Raw genomic sequence first — 17,390 nt, 5'->3', positions numbered from 1 at the left:
TCTTTGAGCAGTGTTTTATAATTCTCATCGTAGAGCTCTTTCACCTCCCTGGTTAGCTCTACTCCTAGATGTTTTATTCTTTTTGTGGCAATTGTGAATGGGATTGCCTTTCTGATTTGGCTCTTGATTTGGCTGTTGTTGATGTATAGAAATGCTAGTGATTTTTGTACATTTATTTTGTATACTGCAACTTTGCTGAAGTTGTTTATCAGCTGGAGGAGCTTTGGGGCCAACTATGAGGTTTTCTAGATATAGAATCATGTTGTCTGCAAATGGAGATAGTTTGACTTCTTCTTTTCCTATTTGGGTATCCTGTATTTCTTTCTCTTGCCTGATTGCTTTGGCTAGGACTTCCAATACTATGTTGAATAGAAGTGGTGAGAGAGGGCATCCTTATCTTGTGCCGGTTTTCAAGGGGAACACTTCCAGCTTTTGCCCATTCAGCATGATGTTGGCAGTGGGTTTGTCATAGGACGGCTCTTAGAGGTATTGGATTTTATGGAAACCCTTTTCTGCATCTAGTGAGAAAATCATGTGGTTTTTGTCTTTCATCCTGTTTATGTGACAAATCACACTTATTGATTTGTGTATGTTGAACCAACCTTGCATCCCAGGGATGAAGTTTTCTTTTTTTGTTGTGTCTCTGCCAGGTTTTGGTGTCGAGATGATGCTGGCCTCATAGAATGAGCTGGGGAGGAATTCCTCCTCCTCAATTGTTTGGAATAGTTTCTGTAGGAATTGTACCAGCTCTTCTTTGCACATCTGGTAGAATTCAGCTGTGAATCCATCGGGTCCTGAAGTTTTTTTGGTTGGTAGGCCATTTATTACTGACTCGATTTTAGAGCTCATTATTTGTCTGTTCAGGGAATCAATTTCTTCTTGGTTCAGTCCTGGGAGGGTGTATGGGTGCAGGAATTTATTTATCTCTTCTAGCTTTTCTAGTTTGTGTGTGTAGAGGTGTTCATAGTAGTTTCTGATGGCTGCTTTGATTTCTGTGGGTCAGTGCTAACGTTCCCTTTATCATCTGTAATTAGCTTTATTTGGATCTTCTCTCTTTTTGTCTTTATTAATCTAGCTAGTGGCCTATATTATTATTTTTTAAAAAAACAACTCCTGGATTTATTGATCCTTTGAATGGTTTTATGTGTCTCAATTTCCTTCAGTTCAGCTCGATTTGTGTTGTTTCTCATCTAGCTTTGGGGTTGATTTGTTCTTGCTTCTCTAATTCTTTCAGTTGTGAATTTAGGTTGTTAATTGGAGATCTTTCTGACTTTTTAATATGGGCATTTAGTGCTATGAATTTCCCTCTTAACACTGCCTTAGCTGTGTCCCAGAGATTCTGGTGTGTTGTATCTTTGTTCTCCTTATTTTCAAATAACTTTTTGATTTCTGCCTTAATTTTACCCAAAAGTCATTCAGGGGCATGTTGTTTAATTTCCGTGTAATTGCATGGTTTTGAGTGATTTTCATAGTCTTGACTTTTATTTTTATTGTGCTGTGGTCTGAGAGTATGTTTGGTATGATTTTGGTTCTTTTATGTTTATTGAGAATTGGTTTATGTCCAATTATGTGATTTTAGAGCCTGTGCCATGTGGCAATGAGAGGAATGTATATTCTGTTGGTTTGGGTGGAGAGTTCTATAAATAGGTCTATTAGATCCATTTAGTCCAATCTTGAGTTTAGGTCCTGAATATCCTTGTTAATTTTCTGCCTCAATGACCTGTCTAATACTGCCAGTGGAGTGTTGAAGGCTCCCACTAGTATCGTGTGGGAGCCTATGTCTCCTCGTAGGTCTCAAAGAACTTGTTTTATAAATCTGGGAGCTCCTGTGTTGGGTGCATATATATTTAGGAGTTAGGTCTTCTTGTTAAATTGAACTTTCTACCATATAATGCCTTTTCTTGTCTTTTTTGATCTTTGTTGGTTTGAAATGTTTTGTCTGAAGTCAGGATTCCTACCCCTGCTTTTTTGCTTTCCATTTGCTTGGTAGATTTTCCTCCGTCCCTTTATTTTGAGCCTAATGAGTATCATTACGTGTGAGATGGGTCTCTTGAAGACAGCATAGTACTACTGGGTCTTGCTTTTGTATCCAGCTTGCCACTCTGTGCCTTTTAAGTGGGGCATTTAGCCCATTTATATTCAAGGTCAGTGTTGATCTGTGTGGATTTGATCCTGTCCCTGTGCTGTTAGCTGCTTATTATGCTGGCGTGTTTGTGTGGTTGCTTCATAGTGTCACTAGTCTGTGTATTTAAGTGCATTTTTGTATTAGCTGGTCTTTCGTTTCTGTATTTAGTGCTCCTTTCAAGATCTCTTTTAGGCAGGCCTCGTGGTGATGAATTCCCTCAACATTTCCTTGTCTGAAAAGGATCTTATTTCTCCTTCACTTAGGAAGCTTAGTTTGGCTGAATATCGAATTCTTGGTTGAAGATTTTTTTCTTTAGGAATGTTGAATATAGGTCCCCCGTCTCTTCTTGCTTGTAGGGTTTCAGCTGAGAGGTCTGCTGTTAGGCTGATGGGGTTCCCTTTGTAGGTGGTCTGCCCTTTCTCTCTAGCTGCCTTTAACATTCTTTCTTTCATACTGACATTGGAAAATCTGACGATTATGTCAGACATTTTGGGGATGATCTTTTTGTGTAGAATCTTGCAGGGGTTCTCCGTAGTTCCTGAATTTGACTGTTGGCCTCTTTAGCAAGGTGGGGGAAGTTTTCATGAACGAGACCCTGAAATATGTTTTCCAAGTTGTTTGCTTTCTCCCCTTCCCTTTCAGGATGCCAGTGATTCATAGGTTTGGCCTCTTTACATAATTCCATACTTCTTGGAGGTTTTTTAATTCTTTTTTCTTTATTTTTGTCTGATTTCAGAGAACCAGTCTTCAAGTTCTGAGATTCTTACCTCAGTTTGGTTGATTCTGCAGTTAATACTTGTGATTGCATTGTGAAATTCTTTTTTTAAGAATTTTTTTTGAGAAGGATTCTCACTCTGTCACCCAGGCTGGAGTGCAGTGTCATGATCTCAGCTCACTGCAACCTCAACCTCCTGGGTTCAAGCAATTCTGCTGCCTCAGCCTCCAGAGTAGCTGGGATTACAGTTACTTGCCACCATGCCCGGCTAGGTTTTGTATTTTTAGTAGATACGGGGTTTCACCATGTTGGCCAGGCTGGTCTCGAACTCCTGACCTCAGGTGATCCACCCGTCTCGGCCTCCCAAAGTGCTGGGATTACAGGCGTGAGCCACCGTGCACGGCCTGAAATTCCTGTATTGTGTTTACTCAGCTATGCTGGGATTACAGGAGTGAGCCACCGCACCTGACCTGAAATTCTTGTATTGTGGTGACTCGTCTCTGCTGGGATTACAGGAGTGAGCCACCGCGCCCGGCCTAAAATTCTTGTATTGTGGTGACTCAGCTCTGTCAGATCCATGAGGTTGTTTTTCACGCCAGCTATTTCGTCCTTCAGCTCCTGTATCATTTTATTGTGATTCTTATTTTCCTTGAGTTGGGTTTTGCTGTCCTCCTGAATCTCAACGACCTTTGCTCCTAGCTGTATTCTGAATTCTATTTCTGTCACTCCAGGCAGTTCATCAGCCTGGTTAAGAACTCTTCTTGGAGAGCTGGTGTGGCTGTTTGGAGGACACACAGCACTCTGGCCAGTTGAGTTACTGGACTTCTTGCATTGGTTCTTACAAGCAGGTTTTTAAAAGCAAAAAAGGGGACAAGGGGCCGGTCTCTGTTGAGCCGCAGACGCAGGACTCTGTTCCGCAGGATGGGGTTTGTTAAAGTTGTGCAGGATAAGGCCGACTTTAAGAGATACCAAGTGAAATTTAGAAGATGATGAGAGGGTAAAACTGATTGCTATGCTCGGAAACGCTTGGCGATTCAGTATAAAAACAAATACAACACACCCAAATACAGGATGATAGTTGGTGTAACAAACAGAGATATCATTTGTCAGATCGCTTATGCCCAGATAGAGGGGGTATGATAGTCTGCACAGCGTATGCACATGACCTGCCAAAATACAGTGTGAAGGTCGGCCTGATAAATTATGCCACAGCGTATTGTCCTGGCTGCTGCTGGCCTGCAGGTTTCTCAATAGGTCTGGCCTGGACAAGATCTAAGAAGGCGAAGTGGAGGTGACTGGTGATGAATAGAATGTGGAAAGCATTGCTGGTCGGCCAGGTGCCTTCACCTGCTATATGGATGCAGGCCTTGCCAGAACTACCACTGGCAATAAAGCTTTTGGCGCCCTGAATGGAGCTGTGGATGGAGGCTGGTCTATCCCTCACAGTACCAAACAATTTCCTGGTTATGATTCTGAAAACAAGGAATTTAATGCAGAAGTACACGGAAGGGCATCATGGGCCAGAATGTTGCAGATTACATGTGCTACTTAATGCAAGAAGATGAAGATGCTTACAAGAAACAGTTCTCTCAATACATAAAGAACAGCGTAACTCCAGACATGGTGGGGTGTAGGGACCAGCCCCACAGGGTCGGTGGGTTTTTCTCCCCGTGTGCGGAGACGAGAGATTGTAGAAATAAAGACACGAGACAAAGAGATAAAAGAAAAGACAGCGGGCCCGGGGGACCACTACCACCAAGACGCAGAGACCGGTAGTGGCCCCAAATGCCTGGCTGCGCTGTTATTTATTGGATACAAAGCAAAAGGGGCAGGGTAAAGAGTGTGAGTCATCTCCAGTGATTGATAAGGTCATGTGAGTCACGTGTCCACCAGACATGGGGCCCTTCCCTGTTAGGTAGCCGAGGCGGGGAGTGAGAGGACAGCTTATGTCATTATTTCTTCTATGTTCTTTTCAGAAAGATCAAAGACTTTAATACTTTCACTAATTTTGCTACTGCTATCTAGAGGGCGGAGCCAGGTGTACGGGATGGAACATGAGAGCGGACCAGGAGCGTGACCGCTGCACTGACGCTTCCGCTAGACCACAGTCTGCTCGGCGACGGGTGTCTTCCCAGATGCTGGCATCACCGCTAGACCAAGGAGCCCTCTGGTGGCCCTGTCCGGGCATGACAGAAGGCTCACGCACTTGCCTTGTAGTCACTTGTCACTCACCATGTCCCTTCAGCTCCTATCTCTGTATGGCCTGGTTTTTCCTACGTTATGATTGTAGAGCGAGGATTATTATAATATTGGAATAAAGAGTAATTGCTACAAACTGATGATGAATGATATTCATATATAATCATATCTATGATCTAGATCTAGCATAACTCTTGTTGTTTTATATATTTTGTTACACTGGATCAGCTCGTGCCCTCCGTCTCTTGCCTCGGCACCTGGCTGGCTTGCCGCCCACAGTGGGGGAGAGAGATAAGAAAGCTCATGCTGCTCTACAAGAGAATCCAGGCTATGAGAAGAAGCCCAAGAAAGAAGTTCGAAAGAAGAGGCAAAACCGTCCCAAAATGGCCTTTGCTCAGAAGAAAGTTCGGGTAGCTCAAAGAAGGCAAGCTTCCTTGGAGCTCAGGAGCTGCTGAGAGCTCAACCGAACAATTACCTATGAGGATTTTTCAGATCAAGACAATAAACCTACAGACAGAAAAAAAAAAAAAAGACGAGGTGTGACCCACACCAGCTGTTTGTCAGGAGTCCCCACTGTCTACAGGGCGGCCGTTGACTGGTGATTAGCTCAGCTGTTTGTCAGGAGTCCCCTCTGTCTACAGGGTGGCTGTTGACTGGTGATTAGCTCAGCTGTTTGTCAGGAGTCTCCTCTGTCTACAGGGCCGCCATTGACTCACCAGTCAACGGCTGTTGAACTCTGGGGTCTGAGTGACGGCCTGGCGTGGGGCATGTCAGGCTCATTTATTGCTACTTGGTGTCGGTCGGTCTCTAAGGCAGGGAGGGCGGCCGCTCTTATTCCAGGGCCTCTCTGGGCTGATAACTTAAAGGGACCCACATTCCTCAGATAAAAGCTGCTTTCTCATCTGCATCTTTTATAATATCCTTTAGAATAAACGGGTAAATGTACATAAGCACTTCCCTGAGTTCTGCGAGCCGTCCTGGCAAATTAATCGAACCCAAGGAGGGGATCATGGGAACCCCACTTTGCAGCCAGTCAGAAAGGAGCATCCGGGTGGGCCAGACCTGTGATCGGGACCTGCAGTGCGGGTGGCTTGTGGGACAGCTTCCCCTCGTGGGGCCGGACACCATCGCCGGGTAGATGGTGTAGAGGCTGAACGGAATTATAGGACACTCAGCTGGTGTCCCTGGAGACACACATGTCCGGCCACAGAAGTGTTCTGTGGTGTCGAGTGAGTGCAGAGAAGAAAACAGCTTGTTGTTCCTCTTGCTCTCTTCATGGAAGAAGATTCCATAAAGGGCCTTACCAGGTGACCGGGGAGGTGGCCGTCAGGCTGTGAGGCGAAGGGTGACGTGAAGGTGGGGGCGTGTCTGAAGGGCAGGGCCAGGCGAGACCTTCCTGGCCCTTAGACTAAGCCATTATAAACAACTTTGTCTTTAAAACAAAATTCCAGAATAAACTCAAACTGAATCCGAATGAGATGCGTCTTGTTCATCGGCCATGCCGTTTGCAAACGCGTAAACAGCAAAACTGATCTTATACTGTAGTTTTCTGTAAATAAAATTCAAAAAGCCCATCACCTTTCCTGGATGAATGGTCATTTCTTGGAAAATAACGGAACGCTCCTTTTCATTCAATTAAATAGGATATGTTTCTCAGAAAAAGATGAAAAGACCTGAGAAGCAGGTACGTACTTAATGCACTCACGTTTTCTCTTCTGTCTGTTGGCTGGCGCGCCGATCACAGGGAAGGGGCCGTGCTCAGCACCCGGACACTCCGGCCCCGCCCCCAGGGCAGCAGCAGAAACCAGGGACTGCTCGGTGTGTGCCTCCTCGGGTGCAGGTCCCGGCCTGCACGGGGTGTCTGTGGAGGCAGGACTTTCCGGGAGCAGGGTGCGCGGTCCAGGGCAGAACAGGGCCACGGGGCTCCGGGATGCTGCGTAGTGCCGTGGGCCCTCGGGGCGATGGTGGCCGCTCAGTGAGGCTGAGGCCTGGGGGGTGTCGGGCCCCCGGATCCCAGCACCGGTGAGGGTGTCCCAGCCTCTAGGACGTCCTCCAGTCCCACATTTCCTCTGTGCCTCAATGGCTTCTCCAAAAACCAGCTCAGAGCAGGAGGCCTCCTCCTGGCTGATGCCCAGATGCCATCTGCAGAGCAGGGTCAGGGTCCCGGAGCCCACTGATGCCCTGACGTGCTTATGAGAACTGGAGGGGACCCTTCATGGGGCCCAATGCTCACAGGTCCCAGCTCCACCCCTACCCAGTGTGGGGATTTGAGCCCCGTCCTCATCTGAACACTGCAGAGGGGCCGAAACACACGTGAGAGAACCCGGGAGGCCCCAGCCCAGACCCAGCCCAGGTCACCGGGCCCCCTGTACATTCCCTTAGAGCCCGGCTGGGATGCTCCCAGGGCTCAGCCCCTGCGGGTGGCTCCTGGGCCTGGGAAGGGGACGGTACAGGACTGTGCGTGTCCTTGTTGCTCGCCGACCACAGGTGCCGTCTCCCGACCTAATTCCCCCTGGGTCCTGGGCCTCACTGGGTGCTCTTGGCCACGGGCCCTTCCCTGGCAGCCTTGCTTTTGTACTCACAGTGGAGGCTGCTTGCCTCGCCCCTGCCACACCTCCCACAGGGGCTGCCGTCCTTCCCTGATGCTGTGGCCTGACGGGGCAGGAGGCTGGGGTCCCTGGTGCTCTCCAGGAGCTCCAGCTGTGGACACTGTGATATTTCACCCCTCCTTCCAGGAGGGCCGCAGGCTGAGGCCGAGACACGCGGTTTCCCTTGAGGCATTCCAAGCTGTGGCCTGGCCTCCGCTGGCTCCCAGAGGCCCCCGGGGGAGGCACAAATGCCGCTGATGTCAGAGGGCAGCGTCACGGATCTGGCCCCAGAAGTTTCTGTGTGGGGCCTGCCTGCCCTTCTCCCCTGTGACCTGGGGAGGCCCCAGCCTTGCAGGGGAGGGTCACTGCCCCTGCACGGCGCTAAGGCGGGAGGCATGTGGAAGGAGAGGGACGGTGGCTTAGAGACCCTGCGTGTGAATGGCGTGGAGCCCACCGTGGTTCCCGAGGCCCCTGGGTCAGCACCTCCAGAGCAGGACTGAGGCCCCGGACACACAAGAGAGTCACAAGGTTCTTATTTCTGCTTCCCGTGGATGACCATCCTGCCCATGAAATCCAGCCGAGCCTGAGGCTGCTCCCAGTACATCCAGGAGGCTGACACGATGCAGCTGGGCCCTCTCCGCCAGCCCTGCCCTCTGCTCTGAAGGCTGATGCTACTCAGCCAGGCCCAGGCACCTGGCCCCTCCCCAACATCAGCCTGCTTCTTGCTGGGTGTGTGTGAAATCGATTTTAAGCCTTCAGGAGGTGTAAGTGACGCACAGTGAGCTAGAGTGCAGCCCCACAGGCTGGGGCCCGCGGCTACACCGTGAGGCCATCGCTAGCCTCCTGCAGTGCCATGTCCACCTGTCTGCTGTGCCCCTGCCGCCAGCTTGGCCCTCTCTCCCCCGGTTTGCCTGTGGGCCGGGGGTCCTGTGAAGGAGTGTGAGGGGGCACGGGCTCACAGCCCTGGAGGGTCAGAGGCGTCAGGGACGTGCTGGAGCCGCATCTCACTCTGGAGACCAGGCCGGATGGAGAAGTGGATGTAGGCCAGGGTGGCGGGGCAGGGGCAGGGCAGGGGCGGGGCAGTGAAGGGGCAGGGCAGGGGCAGGGGCAGCACAGGGACAGCACAGGGGCAGCGCAGGGGCAGGGCAGGGGCAGGGCAGGGGCGGGGCAGGGGCGGGGCAGGGGCGGGGCAGTGAAGGGGCAGGGCAGGGGCAGGGGCAGCACAGGGACAGCACAGGGGCAGCGCAGGGGCAGGGCAGGGCAGGGGCAGGGGCAAGACAGGGGCAGCACGGGGCAGGGGCAGGGGCAGGGCAGGGGCAGTGAAGGGGCAGGGCAGGGACGACCCACTCAGGGCTCCGGAGGTCGGTGTCCAGACTGCGAGTCCAGCCTCAGGGTCCAGCGGGAATTTAGCTGTGCAAGTTCCCTTCCCAGGCGCCGGGACCTGCCCCCGGGGTCACCTTTGAAGAAGGAGGAGAAATTCCCTGCAGCCCTGACTCCCCAGAGTGCCCTGGGGGAGGACTGCGGAGCTGAGGCAGCTTGAGAAGGAGGCAGGTGGGCCCCGCAGAAGGCCCAGAGCAGCTCAAGATGCAGGGGCAGCTGCCCGTGGGTGGGGCTGTGTCCCAACCTGGGCGGCGCTTCCTCACATCCTCGGAAGGCACCGCCTGGAGCCGAGGCCCCGCTGTGGCTTCCCAGCTGCCTGCTGAGGTTTGCTGCCGCCTCTTCCTTCCTCCCCAGTTGACCAATGAGCCCACCTTGGTCCAAAGAGCAAGTCAGGGTGAGAATCCCACCACTGACTGACTATCCTGCTGCCCCCGACAGAGCCCTGGAGACCAGCCGCCCCCACAGGGACCCAGAGACCAGACTCCCCCACAGGGACCCAGAGACCAGACCCCCCCACAGGGACCCAGAGACCACCCACCCCCACAGGGACCCAGAGACCAGACCCGCCCACAGGGACCCAGAGACCAGGCCCCCCCACAGGGACCCAGAGACCAGACCCCCCCACAGGGACCCAGAGACCAGACCCCCCAACAGGGACCCAGAGACCAGCCACCCCCACACAGGGGCCCAGAGACCAGACCCCCCCACAGGGACCCAGAGACCAGCCACCCGCACACAGGGACCCAGAGACCAGACCCCCCCCACAGGGACCCAGAGACCAGACCCCCCAACAGGGACCCAGAGACCCCCCCAACCACAGGGACCCAGAGACCAGACACCCCCACAGGGACCCAGAGACCAGCCGCCCCAACAGGGACCCAGAGACCAGACCCCCCAACAGGGACCCAGAGACCCCCCCCGCCACAGGTACCCAGAGACCAGAGCCCCCAACAGGGACCCAGAGATGAGCCGCCCCCACAGGGACCCAGAGACCAGACCCCCCCACAGGGACCCAGGGACCAGACCCCCCCACAGGGACCCAGAGACCAGCCACCTCACAGGGACCCAGAGACCAGAACCCCCCACAGGGACCCAGAGACCAGAACCCCCCACAGGGACCCAGAGACCAGCCGCCCCCACAGGGACCCAGAGACCAGGACCCCCCCACAGGGACCCAGAGACCAGCTGCCCCCACAGGGACCCAGAGACCAGAAACCCCCACAGGGACCCAGAGACCAGCTGCCCCCACAGGGACCCAGAGACCAGAACCCCCCCACAGGGACCCAGAGACCAGACCCACCACAGGGACCCAGAGACCAGCCGCCCCCACAGGGACCCAGAGACCAGACCCCCCAACAGGGACCCAGAGACCCCCCCCACCACAGGGACCCAGAGACCAGCCGCCCCCACAGGGACCCAGAGACCAGACCCCCCAACAGGGACCCAGAGACCCCCCCCCCACCACAGGGACCCAGAGACCAGACACCCCCACAGGGACCCAGAGACCAGACCCCCCCAACAGGGACCCAGAGACCAGACCCGCCCACAGGGACCCAGAGACCAGACCCGCCCACAGGGACCCAGAGACCAGGCCCCCCCACAGGGACCCAGAGACCAGACCCCCCCACAGGGACCCAGAGACCAGCCGCCCCCACAGGGACCCAGAGACCAGACCCCCCCCACAGGGACCCAGAGACCAGACCCGCCCACAGGGACCCAGAGACCAGCCGCCCCCACAGGGACCCAGAGACCAGCCACCCCCACACGGACCCAGAGACCAGACCCCCCCACAGGGACCCAGAGACCAGCCGCCCCCACAGGGACCCAGAGACCAGACCCCCCCCACAGGGACCCAGAGACCAGCCGCCCCCACAGGGACCCAGAGACCAGCCGCCCCCACAGGGACCCAGAGACCAGCCGCCCCCACAGGGACCCAGAGACCAGCCACCCCCACACAGGGACCCAGAGACCAGACCCGCCCACAGGGACCCAGAGACCAGCCACCCCCACACAGGGATGCAGAGACCAGACCCGCCCACAGGGACCCAGGGACCAGAACCCCCCACAGGGACCCAGAGACCAGCCGCCCCCACAGGGACCCAGAGACCAGCCGCCCCCACAGGGACCCAGGGACCAGAACCCCCACAGGGACCCAGAGACCAGCCGCCCCCACAGGGACCCAGGGACCAGAACCCCCACAGGGACCCAGAGACCAGCCGCCCCCACAGGGACCCAGAGACCAGAACCCCCAACAGGGACCCAGAGACCAGACCCGCCTACAGGGACCCAGGGACCAGAACCCCTACAGGGACCCAGAGACAAGACCCCCCAACAGGGACCCAGAGACCAGCCGCCCCTACAGGGACCCAGAGACCAGACCCCCCCACAGGGACCCAGAGATCAGCCGCCCCCACAGGGACCCAGAGACCAGAACCCCTCACAGGGACCCAGAGACCAGCCGCCCCCACAGGGACCCAGAGACCAGGACCCCCCCACAGGGACCCAGAGACCAGACCCGCCCACAGGGACCCAGAGACCAGAACCCCTACAGGGACCCAGAGACCAGACCCCCCAACAGGGACCCAGAGACCCCCCCACCACAGGGACCCAGAGACCAGACACCCCCACAGGTACCCAGAGACCAGACCCCCCAACAGGGACCCAGAGACCAGACCCGCCCACAGGGACCCAGAGACCAGAACCCCTACAGGGACCCAGAGACCAGCCGCCTCCACAGGGACCCAGAGACCAGACCCCCCCACAGAGACCCAGAGACAAGCCGCCCCCACAGGGACCCAGAGACCAGAACCCCCCCACAGGGACCCAGAGACCAGCTGCCCCCACAGGTACCCAGAGACCAGACCCCCCCACAGGGACCCAGAGACCCCCCCCACCACAGGGACCCAGAGACCAGATCCCCCCACAGGGACCCAGAGACCAGACCCCCCCACAGGGACCCAGAGACCAGAACCTCTCACAGGGACCCAGAGACCAGTTGCCCCCACAGGGACCCAGAGACCAGAACCCCCCCACAGGGACCCAGAGACCAGACCCCCCAACAGGGACCCAGAGACCAGACCCGCCCACAGGGACCCAGAGACCAGCCGCCTCCACAGGGACCCAGAGACCAGACCCGCCCACAGGGACCCAGAGACCAGACCCCCCCACAGAGACCCAGAGACCAGCCGCCCCCACAGGGACCCAGAGACCAGAACCCCCCACAGGGACCCAGAGACCAGCCGCCCCCCCAGGGACCCAGAGACCAGAACCCCCACAGAGACCCAGAGACCAGACCCCCCAACAGGGACCCAGAGACCAGACCCCCCCACAGGGACCCAGAGATCAGCCGCCCCCACAGGGACCCAGAGACCAGAACCCCCCACAGGGACCCAGAGACCAGCCGCCCCCACAGGGACCCAGAGACCAGGACCCCCCCAAAGGGACCCAGAGACCAGACCCGCCCACAGGGACCCAGAGACCAGAACCCCTACAGGGACCCAGAGACCAGACCCCCCAACAGGGACCCAGAGACCCCCCCCACCACAGGGACCCAGAGACCAGACACCCCCACAGGGACCCAGAGACCAGAACCCCCCCACAGGGACCCAGAGACCAGACCCGCCTACAGGGACCCAGCGACCAGAACCCCTACAGGGACCCAGAGACCAGACCCCCCAACAGGGACCCAGAGACCCCCCCCACCACAGGGACCCAGAGACCAGACACCCCCACAGGGACCCAGAGACCAGCCGCCCCCACAGGGACCCAGAGACCCCCCCCCACCACAGGGACCCAGAGACCAGACCCCCCCCACAGGGACCCAGAGACCAGACCCCCCCAACAGACCCAGAGACCAGACCCGCCCACAGGGACCCAGAGACCAGAACCCCTACAGGGACCCAGAGACCAGCCGCCTCCACAGGGACCCAGAGACCAGACCCCCCCACAGAGACCCAGAGACAAGCCGCCCCCACAGGGACCCAGAGACCAGAACCCCCCCACAGGGACCCAGAGACCAGCTGCCCCCACAGGTACCCAGAGACCAGACCCCCCCACAGGGACCCAGAGACCCCCCCCACCACAGGGACCCAGAGACCAGACCCCCCCACAGGGACCCAGAGACCAGAAACCCCCACAGGGACCCAGAGACCAGCTGCCCCCACAGGGACCCAGAGACCAGAACCCCCCCACAGGGACCCAGAGACCAGACCCACCACAGGGACCCAGAGACCAGCCGCCCCCACAGGGACCCAGAGACCAGACCCCCCAACAGGGACCCAGAGACCCCCCCCACCACAGGGACCCAGAGACCAGCCGCCCCCACAGGGACCCAGAGACCAGACCCCCCAACAGGGACCCAGAGACCCCCCCCCCACCACAGGGACCCAGAGACCAGAACCCCCCCACAGGGACCCAGAGACCAGACCCGCCTACAGGGACCCAGCGACCAGAACCCCTACAGGGACCCAGAGACCAGACCCCCCAACAGGGACCCAGAGACCCCCCCCACCACAGGGACCCAGAGACCAGACACCCCCACAGGGACCCAGAGACCAGCCGCCCCCACAGGGACCCAGAGACCCCCCCCCACCACAGGGACCCAGAGACCAGACCCCCCCCACAGGGACCCAGAGACCAGACCCCCCCAACAGGGACCTGGAGACCAGCTCCCCTATGGTACCAGCCCAGGCTGTCTCACACCCAGGGACCCAGTGGCCCCGAATGAAGTCTGCCGTGTTTTAACAAGCATCATTGAACCATGTTTCCTTTAACACTGCTCACCTGCAGGCCATCGGCCCCACCCCACCGAGGCACTGAAGCCACAGGTGCTGCAGTGGATTCTTTACCCTGGCAGCTCAGCCCACGCCAGCGTCCCGCACTCCCTTGGAGGCAGAGACCCCGGAACTCATTTTAAACAGTGTTTACCAGGAGACACAGACCACAGATACACAGCCCACGTGACACAGGACCTAGTACTCAATTGAGACGACTCAGACCACGAGAACTCAGCCTCCCAAACACACAGAAGAACACACGGGCGCAGCTCCAGCCCACCACATGCAAACGCACCACCACCGCCGCCACCTGGGCACACGGAGGGTGAAATTTCAGCCCATACCAGTGGCACCAAGAAAGTAGCCCAGAAAATGTGTCCTCATCCTACAGCAGCACAGACTGCTACTGTCACCTCGAGTATTTTACCCAGCAACACAGCTCACTATGAATCCAATACGAGCATTAACCCTAACAGGGAGGCACTACGTGCCAGAGTTCCTCACTCCACGAAGACGTGGGCCACGAGTACTCTCCGAACCAGGGCAGAGACATGGGTACTAACCCAGGCTATCCCTCACCAGGGTACTCACTCCACTAGGACCTAGACCAAGGGTACTTTCTGGACCATGACAGAGACATGAGTACTAAACCAGCCAATCCCACACCAGGGGTATTCACCCCTCTAGGACCTGGACTTGGAGTAATCTCTGAGCCAGGGCGCAGACATGGGTACTCACCTGCTTTGTCCCTGGCCGATGTCAGCCCTGCACCACTCTGTGGCTTGTTCAGTGACCCTGTCTGGGAGAGGCTGGGGGGCGGCTGGCAGGGAGGGACTTGAGCTCTGGGTGCCTCTGCTGCCGGTTCTGACCTGCAGGCCTCCCTGAAGGGCTATGTTGGGTGTGGTTGGAGTTGTGAGTAGGGAGCAAGGTGTCTGTTGCGATTACAGGGGAAGTTGTTGATATTTATGTAGAAAAGAAGTAATTAGAGTGAGTTTAAGAGTGTCCTCTTAACAGTGGTTTTCCCAGTACCCACGTCCTGGGATGGGAGTGGGAAGGAAAGGCAGGCCCTGGCAACCCCAGTCATTTCCTGGGACACAGGACAGAGGTGTGAGGTCCAAGTCGGCGCCCACTTGGGCCTGAGCGGTGCTGCTTGTCCTCTGGAAGTCGGCCGCCTGCAGATCTGTGGCCGGGGGGATGCAGCCTGGGGTCTGGGGTCCTGAGTCCTTGCAGGACCGTCTGTGGGCAGCCACGTCTGTGCTCAGGCACTGGCCCTGCAGCCCCCAGGAGGCCTGGACAGCCAGTGTTGGGAGTTGCCCTGGTGGGCCCCAGCTCACCCAGCAGCCCTCCCTCCAGGCCCAGAGGAGCCAGCACGGCGGGCATGAAGGGCTTGTCTTGCTGCTGAGCCCACTTGCAGCCTGACCTGTCTCACTGGGAGACACTGATCTTCTAGCTGTGGCCCGAGGGACAGGCCTCTCACGTGTGCCAGGCCCTCCTATGCCCCTCCTGCTCCGCCTGCCCTGAACAACCACAGCACTCAGATGCCTGCTCAGACTTGGCCCCAGGGACCCTCCGAATTGGCTTCTCTGTCCCTGTGCCCAGTAGCCTCCCCAGATGCCCACCAGGCCCCGCCTCCACCCCACCGTTGACCTGGCCTCACAGCACTTTGTCTGTCCTCACGGGGTGCTCACCCTTTCCCTCCCCCTACCCCGTCCCCTGCCTCCCTGGGCACACGCTGCCCCTGCAGACACAGGGCCGGCCTCCATCTGCCCAAGGTACCCCCACCCCACCCACCTCAAAGGCTACAGAACAGTCCTTGGTCTTGAATACAACAGGCAGAATTTCTGGCCGAAGGTGCCTGTGCAGTAAAGGCTCTGCAGAAGCCTCTAGGCTCAGGTACAAACCCTGGCAGTGCAGTGGAAGGGAAGCGTGATGAAGTGAGACACAGAGGAGCAGGATCCACGTGAGACACGGAGGAGCAGGGTCCACGTGAGACACGGAGGAGCAGGGTCCACGTGAGACACGGAGGAGCAGGGTCCACGTGAGACGTGGAGGAGCAGGGTCCACAGTCCCCGCACAGTGAACACACCCACTGTTCCAGCTCAGGCCAATGCTGGTCCCGACAGCGTCCCCCGAGAAATGCAAGCACCAAGGGTCAGGGAGCAAGTGGCAGGACCGGTCAGGCACCATCTGGGCACTGGGTAGGTGTGGAAGTGCCCGTTGCAGCCAGTCTCTGCACATGGGGGGCATTCACCACATCAGTGCAGGGCCCTGAGCTCCTTCCAGGGTCCCTAGACAGGCTTCCTGCAGCTGCTGTCACTGATGGGCGACACTGCAGCCTAGCGTGTGGCTGCTGAGCTGCCTTCTGCCAAGGCCCTCCCAGGGGCCCAGTGCTCCCATTCAGCCTGCATCCCTCCTCAGTCCTGCTCAGGCAGGTGGAACGTGCGGGCCCCAACCCAGCCCCTTCCCCGCAGAACCAGTGGGGGCTCCTCAGCTGCCCAAAGCCCCTGCAGGGGTGGCTCATTCAGAGACAGAGCAGGCCGACCAGATCTGAGCCCTGTCTGGGGCCTTCGTGGGCGACGCGGCAGATGCCACTGTGTGTCTCCCAGGACTGGAGGCCTCCTCAGCTAGGACTGCTCCAGAGAAGAACTGTCAGGGTCTGGAGGCACAGGCAGCTTCTGCTTCCTAGTCCTTTAAGCTGACTAAAGTCACCACAGTGTTGCCGTGTGGTAGTTACACACCCGCACGGAGACAGGGCGGAGGGGCCGCCTCACAGTGTTCCTCCAAAGAGCATGCACACACATGCACACTTACCCTCAAGCACACGTGCATGTGTGCACACAACTCCCACAGAGGGACCTACACACCACACAGGCGCACACTCTCACACACTAACACGTCAACACCCACACAACCCACAAGCCACTCACAAACACACAGGCACACAGGCAAGCACACTCACACAGGCCAGCATACACGCACACTCCATCGCATCCGACACGCAGGCACACGGACTCACACACACACAGGCACACAGGCACACTCGCACAGGCCAGCATGCACGCACACTCCATTGCATCCGACACACAGGCACACGGGCAAGCACGCTCACACAGGCCGGCATGCACGCACGCTCCATTGCATCCGACACGCAGGCACACGGGCACACTCGCACAGGCCGGCATACACCCACGCTCCAGTGCGTCTGACACGCAGGCACACGGGCAAGCACACTCACACAGGCCGGCATGCACCCACGCTCCATTGCATCCAACACGCAGGCACAGGGGCACACTCGCACAGGCCGGCATGCACCCACGCTCCAGCACGTCTGACACGGAGGCACACAGGCAAGCACACTCACACAGGCTGGCATGCACCCACGCTCCGTTGCATCCGACATGCAGACACACGGGCACACACAAGGAAGGAAGTGGCACGAAAGTCAGGTGCGGAACGCAGGGTCTGGCTCTGGCTTCATGGTCTGGTGGAAGCTGACTCCGAGCCAGGAGCCCCTCAGGGTGGTTGGGCTGTGGATGTTTATGCTCCAAAACGTTACGTGCAATTGGATATGGCCCAACACCAGTCCCAAGTGGACTCATGAGGCTAAG

The 17,390-nt window shown here is 57.3% G+C and overlaps 1 pseudogene, besides 1 other annotated feature; it reads left to right on the top strand.

Moving 5' to 3' along the window:
* RPL5P28 (ribosomal protein L5 pseudogene 28) lies at nucleotides 3,716-5,559 on the top strand (annotated as a pseudogene).
* Nucleotides 8,215-8,773: an enhancer, noted in NCBI's record as "H3K4me1 hESC enhancer chr10:134953797-134954355 (GRCh37/hg19 assembly coordinates)". NCBI's record gives its function as "activates a minimal SCP1, AML or CMV promoter by ChIP-STARR-seq in naive H9 embryonic stem cells {active_cell/tissue: H9 hESC(naive)}" and the evidence as "EXISTENCE:reporter gene assay evidence [ECO:0000049][PMID:30033119]".

Source organism: Homo sapiens, chromosome 10 (genome assembly GCF_000001405.40).
Source record: "Homo sapiens chromosome 10, GRCh38.p14 Primary Assembly".
Lineage (NCBI taxonomy): Eukaryota > Metazoa > Chordata > Mammalia > Primates > Hominidae > Homo > Homo sapiens.
This window is presented reverse-complemented; position numbering and strand designations above follow the sequence as displayed.